A 26,606-nucleotide genomic window follows, 5' to 3' on the forward strand; every position below is an offset into this window, starting at 1 on the left:
AGCATACCATTGGGTCTTTGTTTTTTATTAAGCTTGCCACTCTGTGCCTTTTAATTGGAGCATTTAGCCCATTTACCTTCAAGGTTTGTGTTATTTATGGATTTGATCCTGTCATGATGTTAGCTGATTAATTACGCAGACTTGTTCGTGTGATTGCTTTACAGTATTACTGGTCTGTGTACTTCAGTGTATTTTTGCTGTGACTGGTACTGGTCTTTCCTTTCCATATTTAGTGCCCTTTTCAGGAGCTCTTATCAGGCAGATCAGTGGTAATGAATTTCTTCAGCATTTGCTTGTCTAAAAAGGGTCTTATTTCTCCTTCACTTAGGAAGCTTAGTTGAGCCAGATATGAAATTCTTGGTTGGAATTTATTTTTTTTTAAGAATGTTGAAGCCAGGCATGGTGGCTCATACCTGTAATCCCAGGACTTTGGGAAGCTGAGGTGGGTAGATCAATTGAGGCCAGGAGTTTGAAACCAGCCTGGCCAACATGGTGAAACCTCGTCTCTAATAAAAATACAAAAATTAGCTGGGCATGGTGGTGTGTGCCTGTAATCCCAGCTACTCAGGAGGCTGAGGCATATAAAAAAATGATAACATATTTTCTTTTTTTATTTTGACCTTGGAGAATCTGATGATTATGTGTCTTGGGGATGTAGAATTGTGCAGAGGTTGTCTGTATTTCCTGAATTTGACTGTTGACCTGTCTAGCAAGGTTGGGGAAGTTTTCATGGATGATATCCTGAAATGTTTCCAAGTTGTTGGCTTTCTCTCCATCTATTGCAGGGATGCCAATAACACATAGAATTGGCCTCTTTATATAATCTTGTATTTCTTGGAGGTTTTGTTCTTTCCTTTACATTCTGGTTTCTTTTTTTTCTTTTTTTTCTGACTGCCTTAATTCAGAGAGCCAGTCTTCAAGTTTCAAGATTTTTTTCCTCAGCTTCATCTATTCTGCTGTTAATACTTGCATTTGCATTTTGAAATTCTTGTAGTGTGTTTTTCAGCTCTATCAGGCCAGTTAGGTTTTTTTATACTGGCTATTTCATCAGTCAGCTCCTGTATCATTTTATTGTGAGTCTTAGTTTCCTTGGACTGGGTTTTGCTATTCTCCTGAATCTCAATGATCTTCATTCCTAGCCATATTCTGAATTATATTTCTGTCATTTCAGTCAATCCAACCTGGTTAAGAACCCTTGTTGGAGAACTATTTCAGCCATCTGGAGGACACAAGACACTCTAGCTATTTGAGTTACTCATTCTTTCTCAGTTCGGCATGAGGGTATCCCTTTAACTGCAGTGGAGATTGAGTATAGTCAGTAGACTTCCTTTCTGGATGTCTTCACAGGACTGAGCCTTGTACAGGGTCTGTATTTGTATCTGACTTCTCATCTTTGGTTTCATGGTAGGGTATGTTAGTGAGATATTTTGTTGTTGAAGCTTTAGGGTGTGATCTGGTCTGGTCAATGGCACTTAGGCACAGTGATCAGTTGGTAGACTCTTGCTCAGTTGTGGCTCCCCTATATTTCCTTACAGTAGCAGCTGTGCTTCTTCTCAGTGCCCCGAAAGCATGGGCTCCTTTCCCACTTAAGTGTTGGCTATAGATCATGGCTTGGCACTTCCAGGATGCCTACCACAACTCTGGGTTGATTTCAAGGTTTATGTTTCCTCCCCAACTCGGAGGCAGCAGAGAAAGGGACCTCAGCAGTGAGTGTGGCCAAGGATCTTTTACTTGTCTTCTGGAGGCTCCACACCAGAGAGATGCAGGTCAGCAATTGCTCAGTGCAATCAACCCAGGATTGAAGGTCTGTGCTGTGGGCCCAAGCTAGGAGTTCCCTGCCTGGTGATGAGCAGGGAACATGAGTAGAACCCACAGGAGACAGACTGGCCCCCTTTCTCTGGGTTGACTGTAACTTGCTGGAGTTGCAGATTAGGTATTTACAGTCTTTGCTCCTTCTTTAGTCTGAGGGTAGCAGGGATAGTACCATTGCAGAGGCAGTGGCAGAGGAGTTTTCATTTGCCCCCTTGAGCTCTACTTCCAAGAAACATGGAGCTGCTGTTACTGAGATTGTTCAGCCAGTAGGGTGGGACAGCTAAATTGCTGGTATGAGCTTGGGGTTATGCTTGTTGGAGAGCAGGGGTTCAAAGGCTCTCCAGGTGGAAAGATTGGTCTCCTCTCCCTACAGTGACTGTGGTGTGCTATAAGCTCAGGTGTAGCCCTCAGGCTCATTTCTTCCCCAAATTGAGGGCAGCAGGGATAGAACTCTGCTGTGGCAGTAGCAGAGGGGCTGTCAAACACCTCTGGGAGCCTCTCCCCAGGGAGACTCCAGCCACTTACCAGTGGATATGCTCAGCCATGGTTGTGGGTGACCATTCTGCAGTTGTAAGCCAGGGGCCCTGGCTGGTGAGGAGTGGGGGTTGGGTATTTCCAGGGAATAAGGGCTAGACTCCTTTTCCTTTTGTGGCTGGAGTGTGTTGGAGGTGCCAGCATAGTGACTAGGCCCTTTGTTCCTTCCCCTAGCCCAAGGGCTGCTAAGGGAGTACTACTGCAATTGCAGTCGCGGAGGTATTGTGGGTTGACTCTGGGATTTTCTACTCAGAGAAATTCTGGGCTGCCTCTGATTGAAGGGGACAGGTGGGAGCAGGGTGGTTGTGCTGGAGTCCAAGGTCAAGAGGCCCTGTCTGGTGAGGAGAAGGACTGAGACCTGTGTGGAAAATAGCCCAGCCACTTTTTCATGTCAGGAATGCTCTGTGCTGGGAATCCAGACCAGCCTTTGGTCCCCACAGACTCTCAAGAACCTGGAGACAGTAAGGGTTATAAGACAGCAAAGAGGGCAACTCGCCCTCCCAGGGAGGTCTGTCCCAGGGAGTTGCAGAGATGCTACTGGCTCAATAGCCCTGGTGAGGGATTGCTGGAGATCCAAGCCAGGAGAACCTGTTCAGTGAAAGCTTAAATGATTGTTAGCATTTTGTAGCAATAAAATGTCTTTAATTAAGATATGTATATTTTTATACATAATGCTATTGCATACTTAATAGAATACAGCATAGTGTAAACATACATTTTATAGGTGCTGGGAAACCAACAAAATTAACGTGGGTTACTTTATTGTGATAATCACTTTATTGCAGTGATCTGAAACCAAACCTGTAGTATCTTTTGAGGTTATGTCTGCACTTAATGGTGAAATACTGAATGATTTCCCTGAAACATCAGAAACAAGGCAAGGATGTGCACTGTCATTAGTTCTATTCTATTCAACATTGTGCAGAATAGAACTGAGAGTCCAGAAATAAATCCATATATATAGTCAGTTGATTTTTTATGAAGTTTCAAAGGCAATTTAAAGGAGTGAGCAAAAACTTTTCAATAAATTGCGTTTGGAAAAAATGGATATTTATAGGCAGAAAAACAACTTTGATCTATACTTCATATATATTCAAATATTAATCCAAAGTGAGTAACAGAACTATATGTAAAATCTAAAACTATAGAACTCAAAGAAATTTTGGGGGCCTTGGATTAGGCAAAGATTTCTTAGATACAATAGTCAAAGTATAAATGAAAATAAATGATAAATTAGGTATTTCTGCTCTTTGAAAGATACTGTTAATAGTTAAGCCACAGACTGGGAGAAAATATTTGCAAACTACATATCTGATAAAAGACCCATATTCAAAGTTCATAAAGGACATCAAAACTCTGTAAGAGGAAGAGAGGAAGTCATCTCTGTTTGCAGATTACATCATTTTATATTTAGAAAACCCCATCATCTCAGTCCACAAACTTCTTGAACTGATAAGCAACTTTAGCAAAATCTCAATACAAAATCAATGTGCAGAAATCACAAGCATTCCTTTACACCAACAATAGGCAAGCAAAGAGCCAAATCATGAATGGACTCCCATTTACAATCGCTACAAAGAGAATAAAATACCTAGGAATACAGCTAACAAAGGATGTGAAGGACCTCTTCAAGGAGAACTGCAAACCACTGCTCAAGGAAATAAGAGAGGACACAAAAAAATAGAAAAACATTCTATCCTCATGGATAGAAAGAATCAATATTATGAAAATGGCCATACTGCCTAAAGTAATTTATAGATTCAATGCTATTCCTATCAAACTACCATTGACATTCTTCACACGATTAGAAAAAAACTATTTTAAATGTCATATGGAATCAAAAAAGACCCCGTAGAGCCAAGACAGTCCTAAGCAAAAAGAACAAAGTTGAAGGCATCATGCTACCTGACTTCAAACTATACTACAAGGCTACAGTAACCAAAACAATATGGTACTTGTACCAAACATATAGACCAATGGAACATTGGTGCTGGTACCAGACATATAGACCAATGCAACATAACAGAGACATCGGAAATAACACCACACATCTACAACTATCTGATCTTTGACAAACCTGACAAAAACAAACAATGGGGAAAGAATTCTCTGTTTAATAAATGGTGCTGGAAAAACTGTCTAGCCATATGCAGAAAACTGAAACTGGACCCCTTCCTTACATCTTACACAAAAATTATCTCAAAATGGATTAAGACTTAAATGTAAAACCTAAAACCATAAAAACCCTAGAAGAAAACCTAGGCAATACCATTCAGGACATAAGCATGGGCAAAGACTTCATGAATAAAACACCAAAAGGAATTGCAAGAAAAGCCCAAATTGACAAATGAGATCTAATTCAACTAAAGAGCTTCTGCACGGCAAAAGAAACTATTATCAGAGTGAATAAGCAACCTACAGAATGGGAGAAAATGTTTGCAATCTATCCATGTGACAAAGGTCTAATATGCAGAATTTACAGGGAACTTAAAAAAATTTACAAGAAAAAAACAAACAACCCCATCAAAAAGTGGGCAAAGGATACAAACAGACAGTTCTCAAAAGAAGACATTTACATGGCCAACAAACATGAAAAAACCTCAACATCACTGATCATCAGATAAATGCAGATTAAAACCACAATGAGATAACATCTCATGCCAGTCAGAATGGTGATTATTCAAAAATCAGGAAACAATAGATGGAGGATGTGGAGCAATAGGAATACTTTTACACTGTTGGTGGGAATGTAAGTTAATTCAACCATTGTAGAAAACAGTATGGTGATTCCTCAAGGTTCTAGAGCCAGAATACCATTTAACCAGCAATCCCATTGCTGGGTATATACCCAAAGGAATATAGATCATTCTACTATAAAGACATATGCATACATATGTTTATTGCAGCACTATTTACAATGACAAAGACATGGAACCAACCCAAATGCCTATCCATGATAGACTGGATAAAGAAAATGTGGTACATATATACACTGGAATACTATGCAGGCACAAAAAGGAATGAGATCATGGCCTTTGCAGGGACATGGATGAAGCTGGAAGCCATTATCCTCAGCAAACTAACACAGGAACAGAAAACCAAACCACGTGTTCTCACTCTTAAGTGGGAGTTGAGCATTGAGAACACATGGACACAGAGAGGGGAACAACACACACCAGGGCTTGTTGGAGGTGGGGGGTGCGGGGAGGGAACTTAAAGGACGGGTCAATAGGTGCAGCAAACCACCACAGCACATGTGTACCTATGGAACAAACCTGCACGTTCTGCACATGTATCCCCTTCCGCTTTTTTTTTAGAAGAAATAAAAAAAAAAAACTCTCTATGAAAAAAGACAACCAAATAAAAAATAAAAATGGATTTAAATAGCCAAAGAAGCACAGATAGCAAAGGAGCAAATCAAATAATGTTCTATATATACTTATTAAAGAAATGTAAATTAAACCTATAATGAGATACCACTACACACTCATTAGAATGTCTAAAATTAAAAAGACTGATTCTGCTATGTGTTGTTAAGGATGTCACTGGAGCTCACATACATTGCGGGTGAAACTGTAAAATGGTATAACAACTTTGGAAAGTAATTTGGCACTATCCTAAAAAGTTAAACATATAGCTATCATATGATTCAGTCATAACACAATTTTATATTTACCTGAGAGAAATGAAAGCAATTGTTCGTACAAACACTTACTGGTACATGAATGTTCATAACACCATTATTTGTAATAGCCTCAAACCGGAAACAACCTAAATGTCCATTAACAAGCAAATAGATAAAGAGATTTGGGTATGTACATATAATAGAATACTATTATTCCAGTAAAAAAGAACAAACTATTAATATGTACGAAAACATGGATGAATCTCAGTAGTTTTGCTGAGTGAAAGAAGCCAATCCCCCCAAAAAAGAGTATATATGGTATGATCCACTTATATAAAATTAGAAAGTACCAACTTGACAGAGAGCAGATGACAAGAAGTGGATAAGTGGTTGCCTTGGAGTCAGAGGATGGATACAGGGATTAGGTGTGAGGGGTTACAAAAGGGCATGAGGAAACTTTTGGAGACAATAGATATGTTCATTTTTTTTCCTGTGGTAATGTTTTACTGAGTGTATAGATACACAAAAACTTGCCAAGTTGTTCACCTTAGATATGTTATATGGGCTGGGCATGGTGGCTCACACCTGTAACCCCAGCAATTTGGGAGGCCTGGGCGGGCAGATTACTTGAGCCCAGGAGTTGGAGACCAGCCTGGGCAACATAGTGCGACCCTATCTCTACGAAATATGTATATTTTTAATTAGCTGGGCACTGTGGCATGTACCTGCAATCCCAGCTACTGGGGAGGCTGAGGTGAGAAGATCAGTTGAGCCCAGGAAGTCAAGGCTGCAGTGAACCCTGTTTGTACCACTGGACTTCAGTTTGGGTGTCAGAGCAAGATCCGGGCTCAAAAAAGACAAAAAACAAAAACAAAATCAGTAAATAAATGTCAATTATATCTCTATAGAGCTATTTAAAAACAAACAAAATCATTTAAAGCTCACCTTCTCCAGAACTGAAGTTATCTGCACCTGAAGCTTTTGCTGAGCACTTCTGGATTCCCTGGTCTACCACTCCTCAGCTCATTTCAGTTGCCTCCAAGTCTACTTTCCCTGCCAATAGACCCTCCAGCTTAGCATTAGCTTTTCCAGCACACTGAACCATGCATTTGATGGTCTATATATATTTGTTATCTTGTCAGGCTATTATTAAAAGTATTTGTCCATTCATATGTCACATGGACTCTCTTAAACACTTTATGAATTCTGTGTGAGTGCCATAAAATTTTATGAGACTAAACTATGAGCAGAGAGTTAAATATTCGGAAAACTTCAGATCTCCAGAACTGGGCAGGAAAAGAAAATTGGAAATAGTAATGTCATAGAACAAACAAGTGATCAAATAACAACCTGAAACTCTTTTTCTTAACAAAGCAGATATTGGAACAAATAAGCCTACAAACGGTAAAAGTCATAGCCTCCAGTTTCCTTCTTCTGATGTAGAATTTCTACCCAAGGAGTTTCAACAAGACGAAAGTAAAATAGCTCAGGTAACTTAGCCCCCACTTTTTCCGAGGGCTTTTGTTTATGTGTATGATTACTCTTAGTAACAATTTATTTCAACAAAGTTTATGTCGTTAGTATTTTTTCGTTTTTTTTTAAACTCAGTGTGATAAAATGTAAATGATTATAGACCATTTAGTTTTCTGATTTTCATCTCTATTAATAGTAGTTATGCCTATTATTCCCAAATATAGTAATTTGTATTACTTTACTTAATCCTTATAGAAAGCAAATGAGGTATTTCCTAGTTACACTTCTTTTTGTTTGGCCAACAAATAGTTCACTAAAAATGGAGAACTTCTGCTTATTTAGAAAAATTAACAGTCGTCAGTTAACAGACTTTCCAATACTATCATAATTTAATCTGCAAACATCATAATGACACTGTGATTTTGATTTTGTTTAAAAGCGCTATTAAATGAAAAATAAAAATTTAAAAAGCCTACATGATAAACCTCAGTACCAAGTAAGTAGTTTTTACACTGTCTCGACCCTTGGGAGAACTGTGAGGCTCTATAGCCATATATTCTCCCTCACCTTCTTCAGACTACATAGGTTTAGCCATAGGCTCCAGAAGTTGCACAGCATTGGGGCCCAGGTTGGGATTTCCAGCACCTTCCAGCCACACACGTTGAGCTAGTAGTTCAGCAAAACTTCTGAGGAAACCCGTTAGGCTAGCTCATCTCTTGGGGTGGGAGGATCTAGGGGTTCCTCTTAAAACTACATGTATAAAGCAGTGTCTTCTTCCATGGCTGAGATGGGTTGAATTGTGGGAGGCTGAGGATATGCAGAAGCAATACATCTAACATGGTATGGTCAAAAATACTGCATAGCTGTCTTAAATATGTAGAAGCCCAATGGTACATCTTTCCAAAATCAAAAGTTATTCTTTCCCACCTCCTCTCAAAAATTTCAAGCCTGGATGACTATGTTCATTTACATGAAGAAACCAGGCATCTGTTTAAGTTTACTAGCAAATCTTCCCTCATCCTTCCATCCTCCACTCCAGTATCCTGGAATTGAAATCCTGAGTACCATGACTGGGCTAGTGAACCTAGGACCAGCAGTCTGTTGGGGCCTCTCCTAAGCTGTTCATGAGACTTATCATCACAGCCTCTAGGTTGGTGTCCTTGCTTATCTGAGTTTAATGTCCATCAGGTGTAAAAATCCTTGGGCTTGCGGGAGGTACCCTGGGTCCTTGTGTTCATGACCTGTTATTCATTTCCCAATTGTGAGACCAAAGCAAGCCCAGCACTACATGCGGGAACAGTAGCTGGAAAACCTGGAGTTGGGACTTCCAGTAGTAGATGGAACAGGTAAATTGAGAGAATACAAGATTGTAGAAACAAGACCAAGAGGCCTATAGCCAAAGACAAAGTTCAAAGCATGCAAATAGGGGCAGAAGCAGCAAGGTTGCTAACCATGGAAGCTGGAAGCAAAGCACCATTAAATGGGAGGGCTGGATTGAAAAACAAAACCGAAAACAATTCCCAAACTATGGCACTCTCATTTTATATAGTGGTTGGTTGTAAGAGAGGACACTGTTTTGCAAAGGATCCACAGAGAGCCACAAAAGTGTCATTAACTAAAAATATATGTTTATATATGTTCATACCAAATAAACTAATAGTGTCACTCATGGGAATTTATAGAAAGAAATAACTCAAAATGGCACCATTATTTGTGAGAAGAGCTTCTTCACAGATTTTTTAAAGTATATGCCAAACATAGAGGAATAAATGAAAATCTGTGGACTATTAAGTTAATAGTATATTATGCAAACATTCAAGCAAGCGGCATCAAGAACATGTAACAACACGGCGTAGCAGTAAGAAGCAGGAGGAGATAAAAATGACCTCTGAAGAACCCAGCTGATCCTGTGTGATTGGTGTATTTCTGGAGAGTTACGTGTAGATAATATTTTACAAAGCAAACCTACCATTTTATATAATCTACTGTCACATCTTCACCTGTACATGACAGAAACTTCTAACACTGGCTCTAAGTTTCACTGGGAATTGCTTCTTCTACAACTTTTTAGATAGATACTAAATTTCTTGTTGAGTAAGCAAATATTCAAGAAGAGAATATTCTGCCCTCCAATATTTTTTAAAAATCCAGTGTCATATAATTAAATCTGGCTCTCTTAAAGTAGGGCAAACTATTTATGATATTCAGCCCCCCTCTCCAAGCCTTGGTTACCCCCCTCTAATTTTCTTCCATAGCTTTCCAAGATTCCCTTCCATCACCCCTCTGCCCAGTGGGAGAGGAGCTAGTGATCATCAATTCTCACTCAGACCTTAGTTCTGCCTTATGACCAAAAAGCAATACTCCATCCCTTTAAGGAGAGTGAAGAAAAACCTTTATTGGTGAGATTGGGTATCCTCTGTACTTGGGAGAATGACTTTTTTTTTTTCCATATAAAGGCAAAAGGAGAAAATTTGGCTCGTTTATCTTTCTTTGAGGAATCTATAATCAATGTGAGTTTGTTCAAATTTTACAATCCATGGATAGTCCTCTAACTTTAAAAAGGGATTATTTGAATTGTAGTTCTTGCACCTTGATCATGGACATAAAGGCCTTTTATTTCTTTCTGCTTCCTGATCCCTTTCTGTAAAAGAGGAAAGTCCATGCCTTTGATTCCCTTGACTTCCTCACTCTGTCCCCTCCTGCATCTTCTGCTTTCTTCATAGTTGTTTCTGATTGGAGCAAACTCATTTCCAAAACTGAATAAATTCATGATAATATTTGAACAGCTGAATTGCTTTAAAATCAGAAGAAAAAAATTAAACATAATTTCACTTGGATTATAGTCATTTTTGTACCAACATTGTTGTAAAGTATAATTTTTAATATTTTTCATGGAAGAGAGAGACTCCAACAAGATGTATATGGCCCACGGAAGACTTGTGGCCCTGCTTGGCTCTTGAGCATCCCCCACCATGTCTGAGTTTAGCTGTCTTATGTTGGTGTGAGTAAGGCCTGAGGTCATGATTATCCTTTGTGGTTGCAGAGAGTAGGGCAAACCTTACTGCCTCCCTTGCTGACTGACTTTGTGCAGAGTCTCCTGATGAAACTCTCTTCACCTGATGATAAAATCGCATCTGATGCAGCATCCATACTGATATTTACTCTGGAATTTCATGCCGAGAAGGTCACCATGGTAAGATACTTGACAATAAGCAGGAGAGCACAGGGTTTACTCTCTAATGTGCATTTTTGCCTGTGTTGTATGTCCACTTCTTTTTATATGTATTTCTTGTCATTGTTCATTATATGACTTCAATATAATGAGGCTTTTGGTTTTTTAAATTTTACTTAGAGACAGGGTCTTGCTCTGTGGCTCACGCTGGAGTGCAGTGGTGAAACCTTGGCTCACTGCAGCCTCAAACTCCTGGGCTTAAGCAATCCTCCCACCTCAGCCTCCTAAGCAGCTGGGACTACAGGCATGTACCACCACACCCGGCTAATTTTTTAAACGAATTTTTGTAGAGATGGAGGTCTTAACTATGTTGCCCAGGCTGGTCTCAAACTCCTGGGCTCAAGCAACCCTCCCACCTTGGCCTCCCAAAGCATGAGGGTTACAGGCATGAGCCACCATGCCTGGCCTGAGAATTTTTTGTGTGAAATATTTCAAGCATACGAACAATTTTAGAGAGTAAGTAATGAATGCTTATCCACCAATCATATTAAATCATAATATTTTGCCATATTTGCTTTAGAATTTTTAAAGAAATACATTAACAGCAATAAAATAGTATAGCTGTAATTGAAATCCCCTGTGTATCCCTTAAGGAATGATTTCAAAGACTCTCAGCTTGCGTAGAGCTGGCTACATAATTTGTGGGGCTCAGTGCACAACGAAATCTGGGACTGCTTCCTTACAACATAGGAAATAATGTCATTAAATGTGTAAGCACATGCAGTGTTCGCCTTTCCTCCACAGTCTCTCTCTCTCAATTCTTCATGCTGGTTTTATTTGCTATTTAACGTCTTTCTAAGCAAAAAGAACAATTAACATTTTTTAGTCGTGAGCACAAATTTTACTATCCATACATATATTGTGCAATGCCAGTTACAAACATAAGCATAGGTGCATTTAGCTCATGTGCAGAATCACCAAAATAATGCTATTTGTGTTTCACAGCTCACACATGCATACGTATTACATTCTTTCCAAAAGGGTGGAAACACTATGTAAAACTAGCTCGACTTTTAAAATTTCAATTTTTATCATTCATATATCCTACCAACATTCTCTACCTTCAGCTTATTGATGAGTAAGGAAAGCCTGAAAGGAAAATAATTTATGGCCTACCCTTTCTGTTTCCTTCTATGTCATTTTCAGACTAAGTGGGAATTTTTAAAGTAGGTTACAGTTTCAATAAGATGCTTATCTTGTTTTTCCACTGAGCTTCACATCATCGGTCCCCTGGCATTTTGTGAACACCACATGTGAATGGGACCACAGGAACAATGGCAGACTCACATACTGTATGTCCTCTGCTCCACTGTCCCATGGGACTTGATTTACAAAATACAAAGATGAAATTGTTTAAAAGTTCAAGGTGATAGTGGCAGAGCTTTAAACAAAGTAAGGGTACCTTCTCAGCATGGAGCCCTGTGCAAACACATAGGTCACAGGCCCATGAAACCAGTCCTGATGGTGACATGAGGAATGAACCTCCAGTTCCCTCTCCTGACACAGGAGTGCAAGGTGACTGAAAATAATCTGAGAAGTCTTACTCAAATTCATAGAGCAGGAAAGGGGAGGAGATGCTTTATATAGAACTCTCAATGCTGCTGCAGATGGGAGCATTCTGTAGGGCAAACACAACCACAGGGAAAGGTGAAGGGCAAGAGTCATCTTACAAAATAGAGTTCTCTTCTAGTGAAGTGGGAAAGAGCACTCAAAGGAAGGTGAGATGAAGGCTTACCAAGTCCCTGAGAGAAAGAGAGACCAAACAGAAAACTAGATTTGTAAAACTAGCTTCTGCTACAGTGAAATCTCTAACCACAGAAACAAAATGAACAAAATGGGCTCCTCAATTTATGACCCAACCCCAGCTCCCACAAGCAACTGGACTACTGAAAACAGTGGATTCTTGTCTTAGATGGGGTTAGGTTCTAAAATGAGTTATAAGGCTAAAAACATCCCTAAAAATCCCCCAAATTGCATATACAGTATATGGGCTTATAATCTCTAAATAATCCTAACACATCAAATATTTCATCAAAATTGAAACAGACCATCATTTTTATAACTGGACCTAAATTAGCATAAATTTCTATAATTAAGCACCCAGTGACATAGGTGGCTTGCTTTAGAGGTATTTGCATTTAAAATAGGAAGAGGACAACTAGAAGAAGCTCTAAATCCTATACTTAAAAGGTCTGTGGAAAAGAGTAGTTTGATATCTCTCATTTCTTGCTCACCTTGGAACCTACGTGGTTGGAAAAGTACCCTGCACTTTTTAACATTTATAATTTTTTCTTTTGTTTGCCATAGAAAGTTGTACAGATAAATGAACTGTATATGATGTAACTGCAGGGTAATGTAAATTTGCATCAACTAATTTTTCAGCTTATAATCTCTGTTAGTCTAAAATTTATGATCCAGGATCACAAGAAAAATTTAAGAAGAAAAAAATGCAATGGATTATTTTCAAAATAAGAAGTGAGATGATCTGAGTGGATTAAATTTGATATTGAATACACAGCCACTGATTTGAAACAAATTTCAGATCCAGTTAGAACTCTCCTTGTTCAAGAATGAGTAAAAAGGGGGAAAAATGACACTAACATGGGACCTACGAGTAGAGTTTGCAACATTGTGGGTTAGTGTTTACCATTCTGGGTCATTCCTCCAATACATGGTTCATCCCTTCAATATGTGGATTCAAATCGTCTTTAACTTGCAAAAGTTTTCTTTGAAGTATACACTGTAGCTCCATTGTTATTCTGTTCCATTATTTTGATTTTCTTTAAGTACTTGAATTATATGTATGTTTCCTATACCGAGCTTATATTTCTTATGTAATGAATTCAACCCTCCCAAAATAAACTTTTAAAGAAATGGGCATTTTCCCGCTATTCATAAATGCACAGATTTAGTCTTCATCCAGATGAATATTTTGCATTGTGTAGTCACACATGTAAATATGCTTTCTACTAGTGCTTATCTGTATGTTAGTTGCTGCTTTGGTAATTCTGAGAAAAAGTGAATTCTTATGTCCAAGAAATGCCTTGGTTTAGAGGTGACCATGGAACAGGAGATTCTTGTTTACCTGTGGAATTTCTCTTCCAGGTGTCTAAGATCGTGGATGCTATTTACAGGCAACTGTGTGATAACAATTGTATGAAGGATGTTATGTTGCAGGTTATCACTTTGTTGACATGCACTTCACCCAAGAAGGTCATCTTTCAACTTATGGACTACCCAGTTCCAGCAGACGAGTAAGGCCCCCCAACCCTCTGTCCCTTCCACAAGGGCTTGTTCACAGGCTGCACTGTCAGATGGACCTGGGTTCAACTCTCAATCTACCATAGTCAGGCCTGGTTTCTTTTTTCTGAAAGAGAAAATCTATTTTTGCACCATGTGGGATACTTGTAAGACTCAGATAAGATCATATGTGTTATGCATATCTTTGTATAATACCTAAAACACAATAGGCCCACAAGATATGACCAATGTCACTATTATTTATCTGAGGCTTTAAATTGTGTTCTGTTGCACATCCCAGAGGAACAAACCTCTCCTCAATGTGATAATGGATTTTTATTCCCGTTTGTGAATTTACTCATTTTTGTTGAGGAAATAAATTTGTACATGTAGTGTTTTTCTTGTTTATGAAGGACAGACATAAGATATTTCTACATACCAATAACAGCATTAAAATTGGGAGTCCTGTGTCCTTTAACTATTAGACTGAAATTTATGATCCAGGATCACAAGAAAAGTTTAAGAAGAAAAAAATACAAACGCGAGTCTATGGGACAATATGAACCTAACAGGCACATTAGAAGAGCTTAGAAAAATCACACCACTCCATTTCTACAATTGGCATAAACATTGGAAATCAAGGTACTACTTCTCTACTATGAACAGTGTAAAAGGCAGAGAGTTTTATTTTGAAGAGGACTTGGGCTTTGGAAACAAATGAATCTGTTTCCATCAACTTTGACCCTTACATTTTATGTGACATTATGCAAGTTTGATAAAACTCCCCGATGCTAAATTTCCTCATCTAGAAAATGAGGAAAGTTCTATCTATAGATATGTTATGTGGGTTGCTTAGTTAGTTAATGTCTGTGAAAGGGCATTGAAATAAACAAAACTCTAAACAAATCACATAACTTTATTTTTCAGACTGAAAGATGGTATTTATTTAGGAAGCTTTAACTCACAAAGTATTTTACTATTCATAAAATTCCTAGAAAGATCTTTGTAAGATGATTTACTCATCCAGGAACTAAGCACCCACTTTGTGTAAAGTATTACTGGCCCTCAAGCATTTTGCTGAGGAGAGGGAATATACCCACATGTATACAAGCTAAAAATTGCCAATAAATCTGGTACAAGCAATATGTGCTGAGGAAGTACAGAAAGCAGGCATAATTTGTTAGGTGAACTTAATCAAAGCTGCTACCAGCAGGTCTAATTCTATGTGAGGATTGAGGTAGAAAAGGCCAGGATTTGGAGTGAAACTAAACCAAAGAAACACATGGAACATTTGCTCAGCCAAGAGGTATGAACAAGTGGTAAGACAAGGAGACACGGCATATGAGAGTTGATGTCCATGTGATTCTAAGTGGGACCTGTAGGCAGGAGCAGGTGGGTAGTGGGTGCTACAGAGCTGGGTATTTCCATATTCCAAGGGATCAGGCACCTATATGATGAACCTAAACACAGAAGGCTGAGCAATAAGTGTCAGAACCCAGTATGAATTGGCAAGGTATCAGAAATACATCGGTGTAGAGATGTATAGCAGTTTCTAAGATAAGCAATAGTAAGACTAATCTTGAAGAGTGTCGAGTATATAGGAAAAGGAGCTAGGGGACTGGAGGTTGAGAGGCCAGGATTTTAATAGCATCTGTGTCACTCATTGTGTGACATTTGACAAAATGGCTCACTCTTCTGAGCTCAGTTTTGTTTTTATTTTTATTATTTAATTAGTTCATTTTTATTTAGGATTTTTTAATTTTTATATTAATCTACATATTAATTTATATTCCCATGCCAGTTTTTAAATATTCTATTATTCCTGAACAAACAAAGTCACAAGGCCAGAGGAACAGAGGAAGTATAGATTGCAGAAAGCTGATCAGTTCTTGACAGTGAGCTAGACAGACATTTAAATTGCAGTAGAAATGAACTTGCAGACCAGACTCTGGTATTTTCCATAAGGTTTTATTTAAATTCTTTCTCTGTTTTCTAGGATAAGAGGTTTGTGGGATCATTTGGAAATAGGAATCTCAGTTTGCTTTGGACATGTCTGCAGTGTCTTTGCTATATAAAAATGTAAAACCAAGACTATTTTCCTGATTCTTGTTATTCTATCAAGTAGGACATGACAAACATGATTCTCATTGTGTGGGGTGGGGCTGTGTTTGCAGCACTCTGATACAGATGTGGAAGGCGGCATGTTCTCAGGCGAGCGTGGCCCCTCACGTGCTGAAGACAATCTTATTGATACTGAAAGGAAAGCCTGGGGAAATGGAGGACACCGTAACGGAAGGGAAACGTTTCTCTCTTGATATTACCAACTTGATGCCTTTGGCGGTAAATAACACGATGAGTGTTTCTTCTTCTCAGTACTGTTTTCCTGATTGTGAAAATCCCTATCTGCCCACAGACTCAATCATACTTTCTTAACACAGTCCTCTTCTCATGCATCCATTCATGCAACACATATTTATTGAGTGTCTATTATTTGCTATGCCCTATTATGGAGCTTACATTTTGGTAAGAAACACAGACAATGAACAAATAAATGTGTTGTAAGTCAGATGGTATAAAGCTTAAAAGAGATATATAGTGGTGTGGAGGAAAGAAAGTGACTGGCAAGGTTTAGGTAAGTTGGTCAGGGCAGGCCTCTCTGCTGAGCTGGCATCTAATCAGAGACCTGAATCAGGTGAGGATTTGATCCTTACATATATCTGAGTTAGAGAGTTCTAGACTGAGAGAAGGGAAAAGTCTCGTATTGATGGACACTTACCTTGTATGTCAGCGAATACAAGGAAGCCAAAGAATCTGAGTGAATTGGGCAAGGGAGATGAAAGTATAGGAGATGATATGAGAGAAGTAACCACTGGCTAGATCATGTAGGCGTTTGTAGTCATGGAAAGACCTAATCTCATTTGTGTCCATCATTTTATTCTCCTGAAAACCAAAATCACCACTCCTGGGAGTAAATTAAGGTCTTGCAGAGACAGAGTAGTATAAAGTTGGCATTGCTTCACAAATGTGAAATGTTGGAATATGTATTTCTACGATGCCAATTACAATCCCTAAAGGCAAAATCCTGAACACCATAATCCTGAATATCGAAATTCCAAAATATCAAAATCCCAAAAGTCTAAAATTTCTATCATCTAATTGAATCCCCAAACTGTAATGACAGGTTTGGAATTAGGTGCAATCAAGGCTTCTAAAAGTGAATTTCAAGTTGTCACTAATAAAGTTTGTTTTTTCCATTCAGTCCAAAGCATTTCTAGGAAAATTCAGATGAGGGGATTAGCTAGGCAATATGGCAATGATGCAAACTTTAGTGGTAAAATATGTCATTTGTTTGCATTGACATTCCTTCCAGCTGATGAAATTCCAGGAGCTTTTGATAAATTAAAGCCACATATGCCTTGAATAAGCCAGAAAAGTTACTGACTGGTTTGAAATTAATTGTGTGTACAGTAGGAGAAGACACTTATGCAATGGTGTTGCTGTTCAACCATCAGTATTGTTTCCTCCAAATCTGTGGTCTTTCTATGAGTGCATGTGAAATAGATTTCTGCATGCCAAAACATCATAAAAGCATGGCACAGAAGACGGGAAAATTTAACAGGGAGTGCTCGAGTTAGTGTATGTCAAACCATAAAAGAATTTCAAAAAGAGTAGCATCACATATAAAATAAATGTGAACATATTCTCCAGGGAGAGCCATGCCGTAAAAGAGAAAAGAAAAAATAACAGCCATTCATCATAATAAAGGACTTCAAAATATAATCAATGATCATAAAAGTTGACCAGCTCTTATGAACCACCTCTATGCAATTGCCCATAATTTATTCCTATTGTTTTTATATGTTGAATTTTCTTTTTAGTGTGTTTATTTTCTTTTTAATGTATTTTTCTCTCTATTTTAAGTTGTCAGCATTATTTTCTCCAATTTGCTATATACTACATATTTCATTTCCTAGACTGCAGATAAAAATGTAAAGACTTTTAGAGGGTTCTAATTATTTTTATGCATTTTGCAAATTTGTCTCCATGAAGATGCATTGTCACTGTATTGACTTTGTGTGTAAGCATTGCGCTTATACATAAAAATGCTGAAACTTCCTCAATAAATGAAGTGATGCATTTTTGTATATTTGCCTTTTTCAAGAAAGATAAAATGTATTGAGATCTCGGCTCTTTGGGTGACTGCATATGTGGTGGTGATCCATTGGTCTGTCTTGTCAAAAGACTTAGGTTGTCCACCAAGGGATTTCAGATGACCACAATTATATAAGCTATTTCTTTGTGAATATGGTTTGTCTGCCCATAACTGTTACCCACGTGACTGCTGTTAGTATACCTAAGTGTTTTATGTTTGGAAAAGTACATATGTTATTATTGCCTAATTTATTGTATAAAAAGACCTATGAAGTTTTCTGTCATGTGTTCATGTTTCTCACATGTCATTTTAATTTTTTAAAAAATTTTCTATTTTTGTGGGTACAGAGTAGGTGTATATATTTATGGGGCACATGAGATGTTTCAATACCAGCATATAATATAAAATACGCACATCATAGAGAATGGGGTACCCATCCCGTCAAGCATTTATTCTTTGAATTATAAACAATCCAATTACACTCTTTATTTAAAAATATATTATTATTGACAGTAGTCACCCTGTTGTGCTATCAAATAATCTTATTTATTCTTTCTAACTATTGTTTTATGCCCATTAACCATCCCCACCTCCCCCATCCCACTACCCTTTCCCAGCCTCTGGTAACCAATAAATCTCATTTTTAAGAATGTAAACACGTCTTTAAAATTTTTAAATTATTTTTCCCGAGTTACATTTTTGGGAGTTTGATCTCCCAGGATTTCAATATTCAGGATTATGGCAGTTGGGAATGTGTCTTTTAAGATTATAGCCCAGACCCATATTTCTGATGTGGTGACCTCCCGCCCATATTGCAGTAGTCAATAGGCCAAATGATCTGTTGGTGACCTGACCTGCCTTCCCCTTAAATATCTCACTTCCTTGTATTGTTTGAGCACAGGTAGGACCTAGGTTATTAGTATGACTGCTCTTCATGGCCACATAGGAAGGGGACCTTGGAAGGGAAGCCTACCTTGGAAACCAACCTGCATCCCACTGGTTTGTCATCCAGGGTGTTTGTATAGTGCCTTAAGAGTTCCTTACCGTAGTAGGCTTGACACAGTTCCTAGCTCACAACTGATGTAACGGCTGTTATTAAATGAATGGATACCCATATGTGCTTTAGGTTTTCTTCAAGGAGGCTGAAGGAGGGGTTGCAGAGTCACTCTCTTGCTCCCCTCAGTAAGGTTGACCGGGTTTAGAGAAAAATGTTTACATTTCTACCTCCTATTTCCTTCCCTTATAGGCATGCCAGGCCCTGTGCACCTTTCTGCCTCTTGGTTCCTACAGGAAAGCGGTGGCCCAGTATTTCCCCCAGCTCTTGACGACTCTTATGTTCCAAGTCTTCTACAACAGTGAGCTGAAACCGATACTCAAGGACAGGGCTTTGTGAGTTAAAACTGGTTATTTCAGATTAAATAAGAGATAAGCGTCCAGCTGTCAATACTTCTACCCTCTTGGGTTCATATGGGATTCTTTACAGTCCCATGTGCGGTGTGTTCATTTATTACAGTTTTCTCTCCTCTGAATGGTAGAATGCCTTCAGAAAAGTAACCAGCCCAAGTACCTAAAAATTAGTTCACCTTCCCTGAGCATGTGTAGTATATAAAGAGCCGTGACCACAGAACTCTGTTGATTCCTACCACACTGCCTATCAGATCAGTAAGAGACTACCACAGAAAAGAGAGCAGAGCATTAAATCCAAAGTCAGATACATTTTTGCTCTGCCATTTACTTACTTTCTGCTAGTAACCTCTCAGGGTTATTATACATATAAGATTAAAAATGATGTGCTCAAGTGTACTTTGTGAACTGGAAAGTTAATTTGTGGTTGGAGATGTGATATATGGGTTTATGACTACGTGCAGTTGTCTGTCCACATAGAAGTTTGGCAATTCCATTTTGCCCAAGGGTGTACAGTTGATTTTGCTACCCTGCAGGGAAATCTCAACCCACCTGTCTACTATTTGCCCTATTCTCTAAGATGACATACATCAAAGCATCCCAACTAGATAAGAATATATCCTATTCATTTAATAGAAGAAAATGGACATCTTTAGCAAGTCATTGCGTCATTGAACATCTCTTTCAAATTATCTATTGCAAATAAGCTAGTAATAATAAACAAATAAGGTGTTCTGCGATTGATGCTAGATTTTGTGTGCCACAATTTTAATTTAACCCCTATCCCATGTACTGTTAATCAGGGAAGATGAAGGACATTTAGCAATCTTTTTCCATTGAGACATCCCCTTTCTCAAAACCTATATTCTGCCCAAGATGGGATTAAAAGGCAGGTAATGTGTATTTAGTTTTTTGAATATCACCGGCATGTGATGACTTTGCTCTCTTTTGGGGCTTTAGGTATGCCCAGGATGCCCTGAGAGTTCTGCTGAATTGTTCTGGACTGCAACAGGTGGATATTACTCTAATGAAGGAGAATTTCTGGGACCAGTTATCTGAAGATCTGTGTTACTATCATGGAGTCTGCTTTATTGCTAAGTAAGAACAGGGGTCTCTGTGTAGGATTCTTGGTCTCTATCCTACCTTCTCCAACTTCCTTCAATAAGCCATGCGGGAACAAGATAGGCATCTATTCCAATTTCCAAATCTCTCTTAATGATCTGAGTTGCTATTTGATTTCTACTTCTTCAATTATTTTGAAGCGTTTTTATTTGTGATTTTTTTTCCTTTTTCTTGCCCTCTTACCTGATAACATAGATGCCCAATTATCCTCCCTCCACAGAACAGGTTTCTTTTCTTACAGATACAGAAAACTAGAAGTGAGTTTGGTTTTTTCCCTCTGATTTTAGCTGATTCCTGCACAGCAGGCATCAGTTTTAGACATGTTTCCACTTGAAACAGGTCCAGTAAAAACCTATACTCAACAAGCCAAATAAATTTGGAAAAGAATAGAAGAGAACTTTTATTTTTCTTGTACTGGAAAGGGGGTTTTCTAGTTAACCCTTTAGTGAACAGCAAGTTTCTGATTGTAGGGATCAGATTTTCTGATCAAGAATCAAAATACGGGCTGTTGACAACATGACAGACTAAGACTACTTCAAGTTGTGACTGATCCAGAAACTACACTCTTTGTGGTCTATGGGGCCTTGATGCTTTTATAACAGCATCTCATTTGCAAATGGATTTCAGGAACACATGCTGTGTTAAAGTGTAGTACATCTGCACCCTGCAAGTTGTCACAAGTTGAATGTCACTCTAAGGGTATCTAAGAAGTAACTTTGGATATTCTTACTCAAAGTGGGGTCCACAGACAAGCAGCAACAGCATCACCTGAGAGTTAAAAATTCAGAATCTCATGGCCCACCTCAGACCTACTGAATCAGAATCTGCATTTTAGCAATATCCCAAGGGTGATCTGTTTGCACGTTGCAGTTTGAGAAGCACTGGTTTGGAAGACCAACTGGGAATCTTAAAATGGAAACTTCCTCATGTTATCCTTTGCAATTCTGCCCTTACTGATCTGATCCAGGCCACCATGTCAGTACAAGTGTGAGGCTGTCCACCACCCAAGTGTGTTCTGGAGAATGGCATAGTGAATCAGAGCTCATCACCTCCTTTCCTGGCTAATCCAGGGCGGTCCCAAACTCTCATCGGCGTTACATCATTCAAAGGAAGAGCTTGGTCCAAAACCACAAAGATGACCTGTATGCAGCCATCTTGGACTAAGCACTAGATTTTTATTTCCTCTCCCTTTAGTCAAGAATTGATGGGGAGCTTGCACTAAAATAGGACATTCTGTTCTGTGGCAAAGGATGGGAGAGACAGGAAAGAGAAGTGACATTAAGGAAAGAGATGTTGACAGGGATCCAGTTATATGTAATTCTCCAGAGTATGTGTAGAATTCATAGTGGGACAATTTATTTAGGGAATATTAAAGAATATCTTTCATCTGGGAGGTGCAAGATATTAGAATAATGATTCTCTCTTTGCCACTATTAGCATGGTGTTTTCTCCTTTGCTAATTCAGTGCCTTATTCTCTTTTACAGAACTCTCAGTGAATATAACTTTCCACAGTTTCCGGAGACCCTGAGTTATCTCTATAAGCTCTCAGTAGAAGGTCCTAGAAGGTCAGAAGACACTGTCATCGTATTAATATTCCTCACTGAAGTGAGTTTTGTAGACTGTGAACAGCTGTGTTCTCATTTCCTTTTCTTACCCAAATTTAAATCAAAATTCCAGTTTCTCGTATCTCTCCCTCTGAATGTTGGTTCTTACCAAGACTTAAGATCATGAAAGATATCTGAAGTCGGATGGGGAGAGGTGTGGAGTTAGATCTGGGTTATGGAAGAGTTGTCCCTTCAGCTTTCCCCAGCAGTTGGTTTTTCTCTGTTTCTAGGGGTGTGAATTTGTACAAAAACTAATTATTTTTTAGGACCAGTTTATATATTTCTGCATGATTGTTAAAGTATATTGAGGGATAATTGGGTTTAATAAAGATGGTAGTTAACATCTGGGATCTAGGCAGTACTTCTGACCATCTAGAGGGAGAAAGGAACTGGCTGAGTAACTGGGTAAAATGAAGATGTGGAACCATATTACTTTGTATATCAATATTGTGCCATGTATTGTAATACTATAATGGAATCAAGCAAATTGACAAACTTTTGTTTACAAAAAATAAAGGCTTTATAACCTGAAATTATCAAATCTAATTTTTTCATTAAAATAATAATATAATAGGCACATATTACCTAAGGTGAAGTGCCCAATACTTTCAAACTTTGAGGTGATTTCAAACACCATAGGAAAACGGTTAATAAATTATGAAAAGCATACTGTTATACTATACCATCTACTTCTAAAACTTTCAAAAGTATACATAAATTAATTTAACTGAACATTGTGGTAGTCATCAATGATTTCAAATATGCTCAGTCTATTTTGACCTCTCATTAATTTTACTGCGTGACTCATTATTTTTATTGAATTGACTATTCTTTGCCCGGTGTCTATTCTCGGCTTCTTTATCAATCTTTAGTTGACTATTTACAGGTGGGTTTCTTTTTTTTCCCCATAAGTTATTGGGGTACAGGTGGTATTTGGTTACATGAGTAAATTCTTTAGTGGTGATTTGTGAGATTTTGATGCACCCATCACCTGAGCAGCATACACTGCACAATATTTGTAGTCTGTTATCCCTCAGCTCTCTCCCACTCTTTCCCCCAAGTCCCCAAAGTCCATTGTATCATTCTTATGCCTTTGCATCCTCATAGCTTAGCTCTCACATATCACAGAGAACATACCATGTTTGGTTTTCCATTCCTGAGTTACTTCACTTAGAATAATAGTCTCCAATCTCATCCAGGTCACTGCAAATGCTGTTAATTCATTCCTTTTTCTAGCTGAGTAGTATTCCATCTATATATATATATATACACACACACCACCGTTTCTTTATCCACTCATTGATTGATGGGCATTTGGGTTGGTTCCATGATTTTCAAATTGGGAATTGTGCTGCTATAAATATGTGTGTGAAAGTTTCTTTTTCGAATAATGTCTTATTTTCCTCTGGGTAGATATCCAGTAGTGAGATTGCTGGATCAAATAAATGGTAGTTCTACTTTTAGTTCTTTAAGGGATCTCCACACAGTTTTCCATAGTGGCTGTACTACTTCACATTCCCACCAGCAGTGTAGAAATGTTCCCTGATCACTGCATTCACAACAACATCTACTGTTTTTTGATTTTCTTGATTACTGTCATTCTTGCAGGAGTAAGGTGGTATTGCATTGTGGTTTTGATTTGCATTTTCCTGATTATTAATGATGTTGAGCATTTTTTCATATGTTTGTTGGCCATCTGTATATCTTCTTTTGGGAATTGTCTATTCATGTCCTTAGCCCACTTTTTGATGGGATTACTTGTTTTTTTCTTACTGATTTGTTTGAGTTCATTGTAGACCCTGGATATTAGTCTTTTGTCAGATGTATAGGCTGTGAAGATTTTCTCCCACTCTGTGGGTTGTCTGTTTACTCTGCTGACTATTCCTTTTGTCATGCAAAAGATCTTTAGTTTAATTAGGTCTCAGCTATTTATTTTTGTTTTTGTTGCATTTGCTTTTGGGTTCTTGGTCATGAAATCCTTGTCTAAGCCAATGTCTAGAAGTTTTTTTTCCAATGTTATCTTTTAGAATTTTTATAGTTTCCAGTTCTCAGAGGGAATGCTTTCCACTTTTCCCTATTCAGTATTATGTTGGCTGTGGGTTTTTCATAGATGGCTTTTATTACATTAAGCTATGTCCCTTGTATGCCGATTTTGCTGAGGGTTTTAATCATAAAGGGATGCTGGACTTTGTCGAATGCTTTTTCTGCATCTATTGAGATGATCATGTGATTTTTGTTTTTAGCTATGTTTCTGTGGTTTATCACATTTATTGACTTGCATATATTGAACCATCCCTGCATACCTGGTATGAAACCCACTTGATCATGGTGGATTATCTTTCTGATTTGTTGTTGAATTCATTTAGCTAGTATTTTGTTAAGGATTTTAGCATCTATGCTCATCAAGGATATTGGTCTGTAGTTTTCTTTTTTGGTTGTATCTTTACCTGGTTTTGGTATTAGGGTGATGCTGACTTCATAGAATGAATTAGGGAGGGTTCCTTCTTTCTCAATCTTGTGGAATAGTGTCAAAAGGATTGGTACCAATTCTTTTTTGAATGTCTGGTAGAATTCTGCTGTGAATCCATCTGGTCCTGGACTTTTTTTTGTTGGTAATTTTTTAATTACCGTTTCAATCTCTCTGCTTGTTATTGGTCTGTTCAGGATATCTAATTCTTCCTGATTTAAGCTAGGGGAGTTGCATTTTTCCAGGAATTCATCCATCTTTTCTACATTTTCTAGTTTATGTGCATAAAGGTGTTCATAGTAGCCTTGAAGGATCTTTTGTATCTCAATGGTGTCAGTTGTAATATCTCCTGTTTCATTTCTTAGTGAGATTATTTGGATTTTCTGTCTTCTTTTCTTTGTTAATCTTTCTAATCGTCTATCAATTTTATTCATCTTTACAAAGAACCAGTTTTTTGTTTCATTTACCTTTTGTACTTTTTTCTTTGTTTGTTTCAATTACATTCAGTTCTGCTGTGATCTTGGTTATTTTCTTTCTTCGGCTTGGTTTGAGTTTAGCTTGTTCTTGTTTCTCTAGTTCCTTGAGGTGTGACCTTAGGTTGTCGATTTGTGCTCTTTCAGACTTTTTGACATAGGCATTTAGGGCTATGAACTTTTCTCTTAGCACCGTCTTAGCTGTATCCCAGAGGTTTTGATACATTGTGTCATTATTGTAATTCAGTGCAAAAACTTTTTTAAATTTCCATCTTGATTTCGTTTTTGACCCAATGCTCATTCAGGAGCAGGATTTAATTTCAATGTATTTGTGTGGTTTTGAAGGTTTCTTTTGGAGTTATTTCCAGTTTTATTTCACTGTGGTCTGAGAGAGTGCTTGATATAATTTCAGTTTTCTTAAATTTATTGAGGCTCATTTTTTGGCCTATCATATATTCTATCTTGGAAAAAGTTCCGCTGTTGAACAGAATGTGTATTCTGTGGTTGTTGGATGAAATACTCTGTATATATCAGTTAAGTCCATTTGTTCCAATGTATAGTTTAAATCCATTGTTTCTTTGTTGACTTTCTGTCTTGATGACTTGTTTAGTGCTGCCAGTGGAGTATGAAGTCCCCCACTATTATTGTGTTGCTGTCTATCTCATATTTTAGGTCTATTAGTAATTGTTTTATAAATTTGGGAGCTCTAGTATTAGGTGCAAATATGTTTAGGATTGTGATATTTTCCTGTTGGACAAGGCCTTTTACCATCATATAATGTCCATCTTTGTCTCTTTTAACCACTGTTGCTTTAAAGTTTATTTTGTCTGATATAAGAATAGCTACTCCTGCTCACTTGCAGTGTTCATTTGCATGAAATCCCTTTTTCCATGCCTTTACTTTAAGTTTATGTGAGTCCTTATGTGTTAGGTCAGTCTCTTGAAGGCAGCAGATAGTTGGTTGGTGAGTTCTTATCCATTCTGCAGTTCTGTGTCTTTTAAGTGGAGTGTTTAGACCATTTACATTCAATGTTAGTATTGAAATGTGAGGTACTGTTGCATTCATCATGCTCTTTTTTGCCTGTGTATTTTGTTTTTTGTTTTTGCTTTTTAACTTGTATTTTTGTTTTATAGGTCCTGTGTGATTTATGCTTTAAAGAGGTTCTGTTTTCATGTGTTTCCAGGATTTGTTTCAAGGTTTAGAGCTCCTTTTAGCAGTTCTTGTAGTGGTAGCTTGGTAATGGCAAATTCTCTCAGCATTTGTTTGTCTGAAAACAACTGTATCTTTCCTTCATATATGATGCTTAGTTTCACTGATTACAAAATTCTTGGCAGATAATTTTATTTGAAGAGGCTGAAGATAGGGCTGCAATCCCTTCTAGATTGTAGGGTTTATGCCGAGAAGTCTTCTGTTAATCTGATATGTTTTTCTTGTTAGGATAACTGGTGCTTCTGTCTAACAGCTCT

General features: G+C 38.0%; 1 protein-coding gene across 5 annotated transcripts in view; it reads left to right on the forward strand.

The window, feature by feature from the left end:
• The window catches only part of MROH9 (maestro heat like repeat family member 9), a 129,232-nt gene that overhangs the window by 40,540 nt on the left and 62,086 nt on the right, over positions 1–26,606 (forward strand). For 2 of the 5 annotated variants that reach the window (NM_001163629.2, XM_011510006.3), the window contains exons 9-15: positions 7,349–7,461; positions 10,488–10,637; positions 13,782–13,930; positions 16,091–16,256; positions 19,316–19,458; positions 20,434–20,571; positions 22,081–22,201. In NM_001163629.2, coding sequence (NP_001157101.1) covers positions 7,349–7,461; positions 10,488–10,637; positions 13,782–13,930; positions 16,091–16,256; positions 19,316–19,458; positions 20,434–20,571; positions 22,081–22,201 — 980 coding nt within the window. Of the gene's footprint in view, positions 1–7,348; positions 7,462–10,487; positions 10,638–13,781; positions 13,931–14,424; positions 14,559–16,090; positions 16,257–19,315; positions 19,459–20,433; positions 20,572–22,080; positions 22,734–26,606 lie in introns of those variants that run through there. The other 3 variants (NM_025063.4, XM_011510005.3, XM_011510007.3) reach the window with 3 other exon arrangements.

The sequence above is a fragment of the Homo sapiens genome, chromosome 1, assembly GCF_000001405.40.
Source record: "Homo sapiens chromosome 1, GRCh38.p14 Primary Assembly".
Classification (NCBI taxonomy): domain Eukaryota; kingdom Metazoa; phylum Chordata; class Mammalia; order Primates; family Hominidae; genus Homo; species Homo sapiens.